The following is an 18,087-nucleotide window of genomic DNA, read 5'->3' on the forward strand; positions in this document are numbered from 1 at the left end:
AATGGGATAGCAATGAGAATATTTTCCTGATTTTTTTCAAAGACACTTATGTACCTCTAAATGAAAAGGGAAAAAAACAAAGCTCATTTCTAACCTCACTCATTTTCATTTAATATTTATTCAGTGGTCTTCCCAGGAAAGAAGGAAAGAATAATTGTAACAGGACTCATTTTTGGTAGCAACAACAGCAGTAGCTTTCAAAGAAAGGAAAGTTGTAACTATTCCATTCCTACAATGCTCAGGCCGATCCAGTTTAGCAGTAGGCTTGAAAAACAAGTGTGTCTCAGCAAACTCAAACCATGTGTCTGAAAATGAAGATGGACTCCTCCACTAAGGCTAATTTGGGCTAAGCTACTGTAATAAAGATGGGCCTGTGAGGTTTTAGGTATATTTAGTTCTTTCATCATCAAAAGAAGTGAGGCGCCGGGCGCAGTGGCTGACACCTGTAATCCCAGCACTTTGGGAGACTGAGGCGGGTTGATCACCTGAGGTCAGAAGTTCAAGACTAGCCTGGTCAACATGGTGAAACCCTGTCTCTACTAAATATACAAAAAATTAGCTGGGCATGGTGGTGGGCACCTGTAATCCCAGCTACTCAGGAGGCTGAGGCAAAAGAATCGCTTGAACCTGGGAGGCGGAGGTTGCAGTGAGCCGAGATTGCACCACTGCACTCCAGCCTGGGCAACAAGAGCAAAACTTCGTCTCAAAAAAAAAAAAAAGTGACGCATAAATGTTTTACCATTAAAAGTTTATATCCAGAGTTTCAGAAAGCCTCTACACTTTCCCCTCAGAATGGGGGGGGTCTGTCACCAGAATCATCCAATTATTCATTTGATTGCTATTTCCAACTTCCTCATAAGACTAGGAGTCCTGTAGTTTCTAATACTAGATCAGGCAGATCATTAACTGGATTAGAATAAGGGAATCTAAGCCCTGTTCATAATTCTGACAATTACTTTACTATATGACTCAATTCTTTCTTTTGTAGGTTAAGAATAAAGTTTTATAGGGGAATATTGAGTGAAATAGTCTGATGTAAAAGTTAACATGTTTCTTAACTGAGTCATCATTACGAAGAGTGCATCATACTTTGCTATTATAAAGGAAAGTTCTCAGGAGCCAGTAAGGGGATTTGCCTCTATGCTAAATGGCCACTAACTACAATCCTTTTTGTCATCTTATTCACACTCTTTTCCAATTTTCTGCCTCCACCCTCATGAATATTTAAGACCTCCTGCTATCATACACCTAAATCTGTTCTCATTTCACTTCCAATTTACTATCAGACAGAAAACTTAGGACTTATGACCCAAATTAAAATTTTTTAAAAATCTCTGAGGAAAGACATAAACTTTAGGGCTCCAAATTTGTGACATCTCTGTTTTTATCTACACAGAGATATTTGGTGCATGATATTCTATTCTGGGTAGATGAGATTATTGAATAAAGAAGTGACTACTCTAAAATACTTTTAAGCTGCATTATTGATGCTAAGTAAATACCAAGTCATTTAAGAATTAACACTAAAAATGTTGTTTTAAGTATATAAAAATTAAATTAGACATAGAACCTTAGGATCTTCATAACTTTGCTCCAAGGAGATGCCACAAGAAAGAAGAAGAATTTTATAGCTCTGGATGAAGTCATAGATGACAACAGAACATTCTTTATCAGATTCCTTTCGCAAGCAAGATTGAAGGTACCACATCCTGTCTTTCAAAGTCAGGCTTGGATCTAAAGAAGGTGGAACCAAACTGGCACTAATTTCTTTAAAAAAAAAAAAAAAAAGGAAAAAACATTTTTAAGGCAAAAATTACATGCATTCATTTGAAGCAGCAATCTTTAGTAGAAAGACTGAAAAAGACTCAGAAGGCTAAGGGTCTGGTTCCATGTGACGAGTAATTCAGCATCTTATCCAGGTCATATCAGCTATGTAGATGAAGTGCATCATATATCTAAAAATTATGACTTGGGCTAGAAGATTTTTAATGCTCTACTTAATTAGGTGGGAGAAAATATTAAATATTAATACTTGTAAAAACAAAATTACATTTCCCAAAATGAGGAGTTAAAGACAGGAAAAGTATTTGGAAATGAATTTTAAAGAGAGATTTAGTATGAACACATACTATTCTATCCAAAATAAAAAAAAAGCTTAAGTAACTACTCACCCCAACATATTTTCCTGCAAAACAACTGAAAATATTTCATGCTTACTAAGGAACAGACACTATACAGCATCCTTTAAAATGTTTCCTTATTAATTTTGCTCCTAAAAAAAGCTTAAGTAACTACTCACCCCAACATATTTTCCTGCAAAACAACTGAAAATATTTCATGCTTACTAAGGAACAGACACTATACAGCATCCTTTAAAATGTTTCCTTATTAATTTTGCTCCTGTCCAAAACCAACCTATCAGCTGGGGTATCCAACATCCACATTCAGATCACAGGGTATTTCCAGATTACATCCTTTCCACTCTAAAGACTTCTCCAAAGTTTATATAATTCGACTACTATAGATCTCTAGCTCAACATTCCCTCTAGATGAGTTTCAGACCCATTCAATGGTAGGACAGAAGACTGAAAATAAACTGCCATCGTTTAGTCTTCAAAAGCAAACCCTAAAGGTGGCAAGAGAGTCCCTGAGTCTTCACTGCCCCCTCAGAGGAAAAACCCATAGCATGAATAGCCTCGTGTGACAGGCAGGGAGAAGTAAGGAAGTGCTTCTTAAAACATTAATTCTAGTTAATATATGCAATAATGTACATGCCAGCTGCTCTCCAAAAAATTACAATTTTTGCCAGGCACAGTGGCTCACACCTGTAATCCCAACACTTTGGGAGGCCAAGGCGGGTGGATCACCTGAGGTAAGGAGTTCAAGACCAGCCTGACCAACATGGTAAAACCCTGTCTCTACTAAAAAAATACAAAATTAGCCGGCGCAGTGGCACATGCTTGTAATAGCAGCTACTTGGGAGGCTGAGGCAGGAGAATCGCTTGAACCCAGGAGGTGAAGGTTGTAGTGAGCCAAGATCATGCCACTGTACTCCAGCCTGGGCAAAAGAGTGACATTCTGTCTCAAAAAACAAACAAAAAAAAATTTAACTCTAAAAATAAATCCTAGGTAAATATCAGGAAATTATTCTCAAAATATAAGATCACTACCCTAATGGATGTTACAGTAATTACATAGTGACTTAGCCAAATACTCATTACTTACCAGAATGCTTTTGTTCCTTCTGCAGTGAAAAATAATAGGCATCCCTTCCACCCCAGCATACTGCCAGTCCAACCACCAAGGTGTCATCACAACCTTTAATGGGAAATCCATCATCTCTAATAGGAATTTCCTGAGGTGAGCTAGCTAAGTAAAACAAAAGTGAAACAGTTAAAAATCTCTAAAAATAAAGACATTACATAAATTGTTAAAACAATTATAATAAAAAACCTATCTTTGATAGGCAAAATTTCCAGATCTTAAAATATGCATTTGGACAGTCATTTTAAGTATAAGTAAGATCTTTCCAGGCTTCCCATCAATTAAGATAACTGTCACTATGAAAAAGCTATCAAGGATTTGTTAAAATAAATCTATAATGATTAACGTCAAGAAAGGGAGGCTGCATTTCAAATTTTATAACTCAAACAAAAATACAGATCATTTGCATACTACAAATATTTTGCAGCAAATTCAGCAATTCTTAGCTAAGAAACTCCAGAAAAATAAAGACTATTACTCCTTAGTGAAGAAGCATAATTTTGTATCTAGAGTCAATGTTTTATTCCTAAAATAATGTATCTCCAATTTTATAAAGGTCAAGAATCAATCCGTCTTATTGATAATTATATCCCTAGTAGCAGGAAAATAACTGGCACATAGGAACTTAGTACATATTTATTAAATTTAGGTGAACTTTTTTATCCCTCTAGCCTCTATTATATAGCCTGATACAGAAAATGTGCTCAATTTTGTTTGTTACATCAAAAATGGAAAGTGCTATTCAACACTAAAAGTACATAAAAGTTGTGGTTAACACATCTGCTTCATGAATTGAAAATCAGACAAATACTCAAACCTTTATGAACAAATTAATTCATAAAATAGCAAGGTTTAATAAATCTAATCAAACACCTGATTTCCACAGCTGACTACAACTGGTCCCCACAATCCAGAAGGCAGAGCTCACGCAATAAGACAGGAATATACATAGCCTTATTTGACCAAAAGGTTCAACTCTCTCAAAACCTGGAAGAGCTCTGCAAGGTTTTGGAAGCAACATTTCAGTATACAATTCATGACTATCATGGAGGTCTAAGTTCTACTCAAGATAAATCTTGGAAAATGTAGCTAATGTACACTGTGAAGAACAAAGTTCCTATTAGCAATGTAATTTTGTAATTACATAAGCAAACAAGGATATTACAATTTAATAGAAAATAATTTATGAGGCCGGGCATGGTGGCTCACGCCTGTAATCCCAGCACTTTGGGAGGCCGAGGTGGGTGGATCACGAGGTCAGGGGATTGAGACCATCCTGGCTAACACAGTGAAACCCCATCTGTACTAAAATACAAAATAAAAAATTAGCCAGGCATGATGGCATGCACCTGTAGTCCCAGCTACTCAGGAGGCTGAGGCAGGAGAATTGCTTGAACCCGAGAGGCAGAGGTTGCAGTGAGCCGACATCATGCCACTGTACTCCAGCCTGGCCAATAGCGAGATTCTGTCTAAAAAATAATAATAATAATAATAATTCATGGGGCTGGGCGCAGTGGCTCATGCCGGTAATCCCAGCACTTTGAAAGGCCAACACAGGTGGATCACTTGAGGTCCGGAGTTTGAGACCACCCTGGACAACATGGTGAAACCCTATCTCTACTAAAAATACAAAAATTAGCTGGGCATGGTGCACATGCCTGTACTTCTAGCTACTTGGGAGGCTGAGGCAGGAGAATTGCTTGAACTCAGAAGGTGGAGGTTGCAGTGAGCGAAGATCAAGATCACACCACTGCACTCCAGCCTGGGCAACTGAACAAGACAAAGAAAGAGGAAAGAAAGAAAGAAAGAGAGACAGAGAGAGAGAGAGAGAGAGAGAGAGAGAAAGAAAAGAAAAGAAAGGAGAAAAAGAAAAAAGAAAAGAATTCATGAGCACTGGTGATTAATAAAAACCATTATGTTACAACATTAATATACCATAAAAGAAATGTCACGTTCATATTCAAAATATGTATTATCTTTATTTTTATAAACTTTTATTCTAATATATATTACATGCACCTCTTATACTGGAGGGCAACTATCATTAATTAATTTAGGTATGCTGAATAAATAAGGCTGTTCTACACATAAATCCACAGAGGAGATACATACTACAACTTGAATAGATTATATTTAATATCTAACATTGAGAAATCTAACTCTTATCTCAGTCTACTAAGTAGTTTATAAATATGAAAAAATAAAATTAAAAAAATTCTTACCTTGCTTAAACCTACTGCCAATAGTAGCAGTTTTAGAAGATGTCAAACTTCTAATCTTTTCACAAGCCAGTGAGATGGAAAATCGCTTTTTGCACCGCCACTCCTTAATGAATGTTTGGAAAAGATTTTGGTCACTTGCTACATCAATTATGGACAAACTTTCTGAACTGCTTGAGGCTGGAGTTAACTGTAATCCATCCTGTGATAACTGAAGTGAAAAGCTTGTGTCACTAATAGGGCTGTTGTCTTTGAACCCATTTCTACTCCCTGGACTTAAATCGTGGTTTTTAATATCTGAAGGTGAGCCAAATAAATAACTTTCACCAGGTTGTAAAACATTATTAGTTTTCCAAGGGTTTACAGGTGTTTCAAGAATCCCTGGAAATGTCAGCTTAGAAGCAGATGTTGGAATGGGTGTAGGAGGAATGAGACCATTATCATCAACTATATTACTTTCTTTACGAGGTAAGAGGGATGAGGTTTCATCATGATTGGCATTGTTTTCTAGCATCTCAATCTTGCTTTTTACTTCATTATTAGAAGAAAATGAAATTCCCTGCACTTGTTTTGTCTCCAAGTTTGAAATAACTTCTTGTTCTTCATTTAACTCTGTATTTTTTCTATTCAAACTGGAAAAGTTTATAGTCATTGATTTTAGCTTTTCATTTTCTAGAGGACTGGATACTTTATCTAAAATCCTTTGCAGTCCTGGACTTAGATCAAATGATGCCCCTGACCATATGAATGAATGATTTTGCCTGGTCCCAGTTAATTTTGATTTTTCAGCCCTTTCATCTTGATCTCCTCCATCTTGATCACCTTGGTGGTGCTCATCAAGTACTGGATCACTTAGTTCTAATGCTCTAGGAGATACTACAGTATGATTCTTCTCTTGGACAGGAAATATATCCACATTGTCCAAAGCTTCAACCATCTGAACAGAATCCATTTCTGAAAATATAATAGATTCATCATTGGAACAAGTCAACTGCTGGTGGGTATCTTGATTCTCATTTACATTTGATTTTTTAATTAGGTCTTCTTGTAGACACAGAGAATCACTAAAATGGTTTGATGTTACTTCTGAAGGAAGGGGTTCTTTCATTTGCATATCAGGTAATTGTTCTTTTACTAGATAGTCATCACTGAAGCTATCAAATAGTAAACTATCACTCATATTCAAACTTGTTTCAGGAACTGGAAGACATTCTCCTTCTACACCAGTGGGAGTTCTCTTTTGAGGAATCAGAAGTATAACTGGTTTCACAGTTTCTTGTGTTTGATAACCTTGAAGAAAACTATTTAATTGTGAATCAGTAACAGAAACTTCATTCTTTTTTAAAAAAAGACCATTTTCCTCCAATAGTATTGGAGAATGGAAAATCGGGCTTTCTGGAGTCAGGATATCAACCCCATGTGAATCACTGCTTTGTTTCATAGTACCTACAGTCTTAAGGTCCAAATGATCTATCTTAGTCGCTCCTAGAGGGTGCTGTTCAGCAGGAAAAGGAATGTGACACTCCTTCTGAAAAGAGTTCATTGAGTTCTGTTGGACTAAGCTCTTCTGCATTATCCCTGCTGCCAGGTTGGTGTCCTTTGCTCCTAGTTTGGCATTTTCAGTTGCCATCTGTTGTATTATTTTCTCTGACTGAGTATCCAGATAGAAACTATCTTCAAAATCACAGAGGACTAAACCTAAGTCAGAAACATGATTATTTTTAGTTTTGTTTGTTGTATAAGTACCTGTTTTTTCTTGTAGTCTAGAAATATTTAGAAAATTCTCATGCTGGCCTTCTGATTTGCTAAATGCTCCAGCTGATGGAAGTACTTCACTGGGTATCACAGTTCTGCTTATATCATCTCCTAATGCCTGAAAATGACTTGGTTTATTTTCCTCTGTATTAAGCTTTATCCTTTCACAATTGATAGTAACATTTGAGTCTCTATTTATGTAACTACTGACTGCTTCACAGGGCATTTGTCTCTCTATTATATTTTTCTGTTTGGTAATAGTGCTTGTCTGTTCATGAGATTGCTTTCGCAGGTACTGGTTAATTGGATGGATGTCATGGTGTTTCATATAAACATTCTGGTTTTTTGAACCATTTTGTATCAGCACTTCATTTATTTTTTCTGCCTCAACAGCTACTCCTCTGCCCTTTTCACTAACCACACTAGTGGCCTGACAAGTCACATTTTTACTCTGAGATCCTGTGACAATATGCTCCACAAAATTATCATTAGTTAGTGTTATGTTCCATGAACAATTTTGCTTTATTTGTAATGGGAATGATGTTTTATTATCTTTTTCCTTACCACTCAAAGATACATTTTTAGCAAATGGCCCTGAATTTCTAAATTCCGTTTTCTTCTCATCTAAGGTAAACGGGTCTTCACAAAGACTAGGATTAGACAGAGTCTGTCCTTGTAAATGGATTCTACACGCTCCAGAGTCTTTCAGGGGGCTGCTGTCCCTAGATCGCTTTAGATGCTTTCTACGTTTCCAAGATCGAAAACTTCTGCTCATCTTTTCTGAATTGAAATTCAAAGGTGCCTTTTTTGTTTTCTGTGAAAAAGTCTGAACAACTTTCTTATCACTTGTTTTCCCCTCATTCTGAGAGGCTCCTGGCTTCTCTTTATTTATATCTAAAGAGGCCCGTTTTCTTGCTCTGAAAATGGAACATGTCTGATGTTCTTGATTCCCATTCTGGAAATTACAATTAAAGGAACTTGTATGCTCTCTACTTTTATTTAAGTCTTGCACTATATTTGGTGAATGCTTAATATAAGAATCACTAAATATTGTGTTACTTTTGTTCTTTGATGTTAATTTTTTATAAGAACTCTTAGTTTGGGATATAAATGTGTGTTCCTTTACTTCGGACTCACTATGAGTCAATGAGCATGTACTAGAATGTAACAGGGCACATGGATTCCATTGCACTCCCATTTCAACTAAGTCCTGCTGCAGAATCATTCTGGCTTCTTCCACTATAAGGGCTGCTGCTTCCCTTTCAGTTAAACCTTTTCTGCCAGTCACCCAGATAGTTCGCATATTGCGACGTTCTTCAACTGCTTCCTCTTCCTCATCCACTGCCTTCCGGGCACTACACAAGGAGATGGGAAAAGACAGAAATGAATTCATTCATTCGTAAGGCAAGTATTTATTAAACATGCAATCTGAGCTGTTACCAGGAACTGAAAAAATAACAATGAAGAAGAGAGAGAAATGTATCTGCTCTCATGGCACATTCTAGCTGGGGAATTCAGAAAATAAACAAAAAGTTTAAAATGCATTCTATATTACCTGGTGATAAGAGTTGTATACAAAAATAAGGCACCAGAAAGGGGTGGTGGGTGGTTCTGTAGTTTTTAAATGGCATAATAAAGGAAGGCTTCACTAAGACAGATTCTTTAAGTAGAAGCCTTTAAAAAAGTGAAAGCCATAAAACTTTCATTGAAAAACATCCGGCCGGGCGCGGTAGCTCACACTTGTAAACCCAGCACTTTGGGAGACCAAGGAAGGCGAATCACTTGAGGCAACGAGTTCGAGACCAGCCTGGCCAACATGGTGAAACACTGTCTCTACTAAAAATACAAAAAATCAGCCAGGCATGGTAGCGGGTACCTGTAATTACAGCTGCTTGGGAGGCTGAGGCATGAGAATCACTCGAACCCAGGAGGCGTTACAGTGAGACAAGATCACACCACTGCACTCCAGCCAGGGTGACAGAACAGGACCCTGTCTCATTAAAAAAATTTTTTAAAAGGCTGTGCGCAGTGGCTCATGCCTGTAATCCCAGCACTTTGGGAGGCCAAGGTGGGTAGATCACCTGAGGTCAGGAGTTCAAGACCAGCCTGACCAATATGGTAAAACTCTTTCTCTACTAAAAATACAAAAATTGGCCGGGTGTGGTGACATGTGCCTGTAGTCCCAGCTACTTGGGAGGCTAAGACAGAAGAATTGCTTGAACCCAGGACGCAGAGGTTGCAGTGAGCCGAGATTACGCCATTGCACTCCAGGGCGACAGAGCGAGACTGTCACAAAAAAAAAAAAAAAAAAAAAAAAAGACAAGACAAGAAAGAAAACGAATGCTTCTGTACAATACACAATATAAACTCTGGGCAAAATATATGAAGGGACTAGAAAATGAACAAAAGAAAGCAGAAATTGGAGTGGGGTTGAGACTTGGAAGAAAGAAAATGGCAGTGGGTTAATTTTCACTTTTTACCTGAAGGCAGGGCCCAGTCAGCACCCTGTAGGTTGGCTAAAAACTTAGATAACAACCTGGAGTTCACTGATTGACAGAAGTCAGAAGAGAGTTAAGAGTAACTACATTAGTTGGAAATTTAAGGCAGTCTAGAACAGATAACTAGAGAGGAACAACTCGTAATTCTTCATATAAACTCTGCCCAAATCTCTCACTGACCTCTAAACCGTGCAAGTGTGGACAGATTCCAAGTGGCCAGTTAAAAGTCTAAACCAGGGGTCCTCAACCCCCGAGATGCAGACCAGTACCAGTCCATGGCCTGTTAGGAACTGGGCCGCACAGCAGGAGGTGAGCTACAGGCAAGGGAGCATTGCTGCCTGAGCTCCGCCTCCTGTCAGATCAGCTGCAGGAAACCCTACTGTGAATTGTACATGCAAGGAATCTAGGTTGCGTGCTCCTTATGAGAATCTAATTGTTTTGTTTCATCCTAAAACCAAACCATCTCCACCACCCCCCTACCCCCACCTCCACCCCCGGTCTGTGGAAAAATTGTCTTCCATGGGCAAGAGATATGCAAGAGCAAAGAGGATAGTAAAATACTATACCCCATCCCTTCCCACACAGGTTAAGGTCTCAGAGCTGGGAGTCAGGTTTAAAGTGAGTGGGAGGGAAGAAACACTAATTGGAAATGAGATTGATGCTTCCATCTAAAACAAATTGTTTAATACCTGAAAATAAAACTGGTTGTTAGTACCTGAAAGTAACTAAATACCTATAGAATCTGCCTGAGATTTCATATAAGACTGAGTTCAAAAAACAGTGGTAGAAAAAATAATTAAGCTATTCCTTGATTTATATACTGAGTCTAGCCCATTCAATAAATTGGTTATTCAGACATACACACAAAAAAATAATCAAGGAATCTTCTCACAAATTGTTTTGAGGGACACTAGCATTCCAAAGAACATTTCAGAGGAATGTATTTTAAAATGCTCTTGCCTAAAGTGTAAGATGAGCCTGAGATATATAATGAAATCACATCAAAATTATCAAAATCCATCAAAGCAGATCAAAATCAAAATTTAGCAAAGCAGAAAGCATTGATACCAAACTTTTGCTCAGTACTTTTTTTTTTTTTTTTGAGACACGATCTTACTCTGTCACCCAGGCTGGAGTTCAGTGGCACTATCAGGGCTCACTGCAGCCTCGACCTCCCGGGCTCAACCAACTCTCCAGCCTCACATCCCCAAGTAGCTGGGACTATAGGCACATGCCACCATGCCCAGCTATTTTTTTTTTTTTTTTTTTCAGTTTTAGTAGCGATGAGATCTTGCTATGTTGCTCAGGCTAGTCTTGAACTCCTAAGCTCAAACAATCAGCCTCAGCCTCCCAAAGTACTGGGATTACAGGAGTGAGTCACTGTGCCCAGCCCCACTCAGACGTTCTAGCAGGAATGTTTTTAAGTCATGTATTATTTTTTAAATATACAAAATAAAAAGTAATCTGCAGCCGGGCACTTTGGCTCACGCCTATAATCCCAGCACTTTGGGAGGCTGAGGCAGGGGGATTGGCTGAGGTCAGGAGTTCAAGACCAGCCTGGCCAACATGGTGAAACCCTGTCTCTACTAAAAATACAAAAATTAGCTGGGCCTGGTGGTGGGTGCCTATAATCCCAGCTACTCAGGAGGCTGAGGCAGGAGAATCGCTTGAACCCAGGAGGTGGAGGTCGCAGTGAGCCGAGATCGCACCATTGCACTCCAGCCTGGGTAACAAGAGTGAGACTTCATCTCAAAAAAAAAAAAGTAATCTGCAATGGGGAAAAAGTAGCCATATTTTCTTCCACTTACACCAAGTATATAATAAGATTATTTAAGAGAAAAATAACTTTAATACATTATCTATTATTTTAAAATTGACATTTTTTTTTTATTTCATAAGCCCATGTAGGTAAAGGTATTTTCTTACCTTTTGAAAGGCACAGCATTTTTCAGAATCACCTCCACCTCCACAATATTTGCTCTAGCAAGGTCTGCCACAGTATGAAAGCCAGAAGCATAGAGAACCCTGGCTCTCTGAGCATTTAGTAAGGATACCCGAACCAGGTCACACAGCTCCCTCTGGATGCCAAACGTAAGACGCTTCTGAAATTGGGAAAGTAGTAGTTCCATGTTGTGCCAGCCCAGACGGTTGGAAAATACTGTAATCATCCCTAGAACATTCATAGAATATTTGTTGAATTCAATTTTTTTTACAGACGAATTCTCCATTTCTTTAGATGTATTTATATTTTCTTTTGTTTTTTCCCTGCAAAATTGTAAGATTTAACAAGGCCCAAGGTGTAAGTTAACAAGGGAGCAGATATATATTAAGAGCCTTAACTAATTGGACAATAAATGTGCTAAGTTTTATGAGATGACATTAAATGTCATCTTATTTATTCTTAATCCTCAAGTTAATACATGAAAACTGAGGCAGAGCACATAAACACAAAACAAACAAGAAGCCCTCACCCTAATTCATTCCTCTCTCTCTCTCTTTCTTAAGCAAAAGAGAACTCTTAAAAACATGTAAAGGTCTCTCTCTTCCCGCCACCCAAGATGCCGAAAGGAAAGAAGGCCAAGGGAACGAAGGTGGCTCCGGCCCCTGCTGTCGTGAAGAAGCAGGAGGCTAAGAAAGTGGTGAATCCCGTTTGTGAAAAGGCCTAAGAATTTTGGCACTGGACAGGACATCCAGCCCAAAAGAGACCTCACCCGCTTTGTGAAACGGCCCCGCTATATCAGGTTGCAGCGGCAGAGAGCCATCCTCTATAAGCGGCTGAAAGTGCCTCCTGCGATTAACCAGTTCACCCAGGCCCTGGACCGCCAAACAGCTACTCAGCTGCTTAAGCTGGCCCACAAGTACAGACCAGAGTCAAGGCAAGAGAAGAAGCAGAGGCTGTTGGCCTGGGCCAAGAAGAAAGCTGCTGGCAGAGGGGACGTCCCCACCAAGAGACCACCTGTCCTTCGAACAGGAGTTAACACCGTCACCACCTTGGTGGAGAACAAGAAAGCTCAGCTGGTGGTGATTGCACACAACGCGGATCCCATCAAGCTGGCTGTCTTCTTGCCTGCCCTGTGTCGTAAAATGGGGGTCCCTTACTGCATTACCAAGGGGAAGGCAAGACTGGGACGTCTAGTCCACAGGAAGACCTGCACCACTGTCGCCTTCACACAGGTGAACTCGGAAGACAAAGGCACTTTGGCTAAGCTGGTGGAAGTTATCAGGACCAATTACAACGACAGATAGGATGAGACCCACCGTCACTGGGGCGGCAACGTCCTGGGTCCTAAGTCTGTGGCTCGTATCACCAAGCTCGAAAAGGCAAAGGCTAAAGAACTTGCCACTAAACTGGGTTAAATGTACACTGTTGAGTTTTCTGTATATAAAAATAATTAAAATAATACAAATTTTCAAAAAAAAAAAAAAAGCATGTAAAGATGCTGGGCGCAGTGGCTCACGCCTGTAATCCCAGCACTTTGGAAGGCCAAGTCGAGCAGATCATCTGAGGTCAGGACTTTGAGACCAGCCTGACCAACATGGAGAAACCCCATCTCTACTAAAAATACAAAATTAGCCAGGCATGGCGGTGCATGCCTGTAATCCCAGTTCCTCGGGAGGCTGAGGCAGGAGAACCACTTGAACTTGGGAGGCGGGGGTTGTGGTGAGCCGAGATCGTGCCATTGCACTCCAGCCTGGGCAACAAGAGAGAAACTCCATCTCAAAAAAAAAAAAGTAAGGGACTCTTTCCACCTAGAGGAAAACAAGAGTTGGTTTAAATATTCAAGTGCTGAGAGAACTAGAAAGAGTGAAGTTCCCACCTGCATTTTCTTCAAAGAAAGGTTGCTGAGCTCAATAGCTGCACTGTCTTGGAATAAAGAAACCAAAACAAGTGCCATGTCATAAAGACATTTGTTGAATTAAAATTTTGTTACACTTCCCTACAAGAACATAAACCCCTAGAGGCAGTCTTTCATCTTTGATACCAGTGAGTCTAAGAGTGAGTCCCTCCCGGCCGGGCGCGGGTGGCTTATACCTGTAATCCCAGTACTTTAGGAGGCCGAGGCGGGTGGTCCACGAGGTCAGGAGATCGAGACCATCCTGGCTAACACAGTGGAACCCCATCTCCACTAAAAATACAAAAAAAAAAATTAGCCGGGCGTGGTGCCGGGCACCTGTAGTCCCAGCTACTCGGGAGGCTGAGGCAGCAGAATGGCATTAACCTGGGAGGCAGAGCTTTCAGTGAGCCGAGATGGCGCCACTGCACTCCAGCCTGGGAGACAGAGCAAGACTCTGTCTCAAAAAAAAAAAAAAAAAAAAAAAAGAGTGAGTGCCTCCCTTCCTACCACTATCTCTTCTCATCTTCCCCGCAGTACTCCCTCATAAGCACATATCTTCACGATGAAACCTATTATACATATAACACACCCTCTTGTAGCCCATAGTTTCCTTCTTAAGGGCTTGTAAGGATTCCTTAGTAAAATCAGACCCAGAATTTCTCGTTTGCTTAGGGTTTAATACATTAAGGCAGACCAGTGGTTCCTTAGATCATTTTTATAACAGTCAGACAGGAGTTCAGAAATCCCTCTCCATCTTCCGTCCTTCTCCTCAACAATATGGATTAATCAGTACCTTTTTTTTTTTTTGAGACAGAGTCTCGCTCTGTCACCCAGGCTAGAGTGCAGTGGTGCGATCTCAGCTCACTGCAACCTCTGCCTCCCGGGTTCAAGCAATTCTCTGCCTCAGCCTCCCCAGTAGCTGGGATTATAAGCGCCCACCGCCACACCTGGCTAATTTTTTGTATTTTCAGTAGAGATGGGGTTTCACCATCTTGGCCAGGCTGGTCTTGAACTCCTGACCTCGTGATCCACCCGACTCGGCCTCCCAAAGTGCTGGGATTACAGGCATGAGCCACCGCGCCCGGCAATCAGTACCTTAATGAGAAAGGGGAGACCACAGAGAACTTTGTTTCTGTTTCTTCTTGCAACAGGAAAAAGAAAAGGAAAACAGAAAGGAGGATAGTCAGCAGGTTGCTAAGGAATAGAGGCCAAGACATTCAGCTAGTTACCAATCCTCTGTAACATGGTACTGAGCCCTGAGGAGCCATAGTTTTGAATTTTCTGATGATGACAAGAACTGTACAAAGTTTTAGCACTTTTAAAGAAGCCTACAATAAAATGGAATTTGAAAAAAAAAGTAATCTTAACTCGACCTCAAATCACAGTATTAAATAAATGTGAAACCCTTTGTTTAACTGACCTGCATAAACAGCAGCTGACTGTTGCAAAGATTGAATCTGCCCACGATTGCATCCATATTTCTGATTTATTTCCCTTAAGGGAACTTCACTGATTAAATCTAATAGCACAAGACTGGTGAAAAACCTGGGAATAAATCATCAAAAGCGTGGTAAGAGATCCTTCACGTCTACTAGGCGATACAGTGTGTTGAAAAATGACTAAGAACTGGAAAGGCAACAGAGGGCTTATATAATACATTGTGGTGAGATTCTTAATAGAAAATAGGATTACTGGACAAAGGCTGAGATCAATGCTTGCAAAGCAAGTTTTGACATGCATTAGTACTATAGTAAAGAACTAATGTCTGTATAACAAAAACCTGCCCATATTCAAAACTGCTGCTAACAAGAAATGAGACTTGGTTCAAGAAATGTGATGACACAAAAATTAAAAAGATAACTTGATATACAGCTACATGTATATCATTACTCCAATAAAATGACAATATAAATATAGCATCCAATTTTGATTTGAAAGGCAACGGTAGCAAAAGTAATCCAAGTATATAAATCCAAGTATATAAAATTTATACTTAACCATATTATAAATAATATATTAGAGACTGTTTTTTAAGAAAAATCATTTCATTATTATTTCTTTTTTTTTGAGACGGAGTCTCACTGTGTTGCCCAGGCTGGAGTGCAGTGGCGCAATCTTGGCTCACTGCAACCTCCATCTCCTGGGTTCAAGCAATTCCCCCACCTCAGCCTCCCAAGTAGCTGGGATTACAGGTGCACACCACCACAAACGGCTAATTTTTGTATTTTTACTAGAGACAGGGTTTTACCACATTGGCCAGGCTGGTCTCAAACTCCTGACCTCAAGTGATCCGCCCACTTTGGCCTCCCAAAGTGCTGGGATTACAGGCATGAGCCACTGCACCCAGCCAATTTCATTATATTTCAAAGAAGCTAACAGCCTGTACCAATTTTTCCACCTGAATCTTTTAATTAGCTCTTCTCCTCTATTGGTAATGAATCACTTTTAAGTATGATATAAAGCATAACCCCAGGTGAAGTCACAGTAAGTTGGTGGTTCTTCTGATCAACACCTTCTTTACAAAAGAGAGGTAATTAAATATTCTACCTTAAAAGATAAGGTCTTTATATATAATGGCTGCTAAACTGTGAGCTGCAGAAAGAAACTAAAATACCAATAAATTTAGTAAATACAGAAAACTTGTTGGGTGTGGTGGCTCACGCCTGTAATCCCAGCACTTTGGGAGGCGGAGGCGGGTGGATCACCTGAGGTCAGGAGTTTAAGACCAGCCTGACCAACATGGAGAAACCCCATCTCTATTAAAAATATAAAATGAGCCAGGCATGGTGGCACATGCCTGTAATCCCAGCTACTCAGGAGGCTGAGGCAGCAGAATCGCTTGAACCTGGGAGGCGGAGGTTGCGGTGAGCTGAGATCGCGCTATTGCACTCCAGCCTGGGCAACAAGAACAAAACTCCATTTCAAAATTAAAAAAAAAAAGAAAATGAAAAAAAAGAAAACTGAAAAATCTTATACTCTGCCAAAATTTTGATTTTATTGACAATGAAAGTGACTACAATAAACTGGGCGTCTACTACATGCAAGACACTGTGTTAAATACCGGAGAGCCCAGAGACCTTGACGTTTACCTTTTATGGATGGCCATTTGTCGATGCTGTCTCTCAGTTCTGGCTACTACTTTTCCTTTCACACAACGGGCCAAGAACCCCTCTTCAACTCCCACTAGCTCTGCCACCCTTTTCATTGAAGTTGGCAACTTCTCCCATAAACAGAAAAATCGATACCAATCAATAGTAGTCCAATCCTCAAACATAGGTGTAACCTAAAAGGAAGAAGTATTATTCATTAACTAAAACTATTATATTACAAAAAACCATTATATACAACCTTCATATTAAAGACAAAAGCCAGGCATGATGGTATGTGCCTGTAGTCCTAGCTACTCAGAAGGCTGAGATGGAAAGATTGCTTGAACCCAAAAGTTTGAGGCCACAGTGAGCTATGACTGTGCCACTGCACTCTAGCTCAACTGACCAGGTGAGACTCTGTCTCTAAAAAAATGAAATAAAATAAAATAAATAAAATGGCTGACTGTGGTGGTTCATGCCTGTAATCCCAATGCTGTAGGAGGCCAAGGCAGGAGGATCGCTTGAGCCCAGGAGTTTGAGGCTGCAGTAAGCTATGACTGTGCCACATCACTCCAGCCTGGGCAACAGAGCAAGACTCCATCTCAAAAAAAATTACAATAAAATAAAATTACTTAAAATAAAAAGACAAAGGCCTCAGGATTTACAAAAATGTCTAACTGTGATAATACCTCATTCATATGGAAACATCATTTATTCACAAACAATGCACTGCCAGGACAAATGGAAAGAGATCACTAAGCATACAAACTGGATTTTATAGAACCCAAGTCTTTTTTTTTTTTTTTTTGAGACAAGGTCTTGTTCTATCATCCAGGCTGGGATCTAGTTCACTGAAGCTTCAACCTCCTGTGCTCAAGCAATCCTCCCAAGTCAGCCTCCCAAGTAGCTGGGGCTACAAGGTGAGTGCCACCACGTCTGCCTAATTTTTAAATTTTTTTGGTGAAACTGGGTTTTATTCTGTTGCCCAGGTTGGTCTCAGACTCCTGGCCTCAAGCAATTCTCCTGCCTCAGACTCTCAAAATGCTGGGATTACAGGCATCAGCCACTGCGCCCGGCCAGAACCTAAGTTTTTAATTATAGACACTTCTAATATCAATATTCTAACTGTAGGTACAATCTTAAGTATTCTGAGTAATTTTCAAGAAAGAATCAATAACATAGAGGAGATAAGGGAAGAATCAATATTCAGAGTTGATATATTACCCAAAATGTCAAGATTCAACAAAAATTATGAAACATATAAGAAATAGGAAAGTATGTCTCAAACACAGGGGGAAAAGCAGGCAAAAGAAATAAAAAGAAATACCTTTGAGAGGGTCCAGCTATTGAAATAAGTAAAGACTTCAAAGCAAATATTATAAATATGGTAAAAACAAAAACAAAAACCATGCTTGAAGTAAAAGGC

At 39.6% G+C, this 18,087-nt stretch overlaps 1 protein-coding gene and 1 pseudogene across 1 annotated transcript in view; one reads left to right on the forward strand and one right to left on the reverse strand.

The window, feature by feature from the left end:
- Positions 1 to 18,087, reverse strand: part of POLQ (DNA polymerase theta) — a 114,558-nt gene that overhangs the window by 50,385 nt on the left and 46,086 nt on the right. Inside the window, exons 13-18 of the mRNA NM_199420.4 lie at positions 16,662 to 16,855; positions 14,993 to 15,117; positions 11,663 to 11,906; positions 5,487 to 8,593; positions 3,226 to 3,369; positions 1,571 to 1,767 (exon numbers count right to left, since the gene is read on the reverse strand). Coding sequence (NP_955452.3) covers positions 1,571 to 1,767; positions 3,226 to 3,369; positions 5,487 to 8,593; positions 11,663 to 11,906; positions 14,993 to 15,117; positions 16,662 to 16,855 — 4,011 coding nt within the window. The remainder of the gene's footprint in view (positions 1 to 1,570; positions 1,768 to 3,225; positions 3,370 to 5,486; positions 8,594 to 11,662; positions 11,907 to 14,992; positions 15,118 to 16,661; positions 16,856 to 18,087) is intronic.
- RPL7AP11 (ribosomal protein L7a pseudogene 11) lies at positions 12,272 to 13,148 on the forward strand (annotated as a pseudogene).

The sequence above is a fragment of the Homo sapiens genome, chromosome 3 (genome assembly GCF_000001405.40).
Source record: "Homo sapiens chromosome 3, GRCh38.p14 Primary Assembly".
Taxonomy (NCBI): domain Eukaryota; kingdom Metazoa; phylum Chordata; class Mammalia; order Primates; family Hominidae; genus Homo; species Homo sapiens.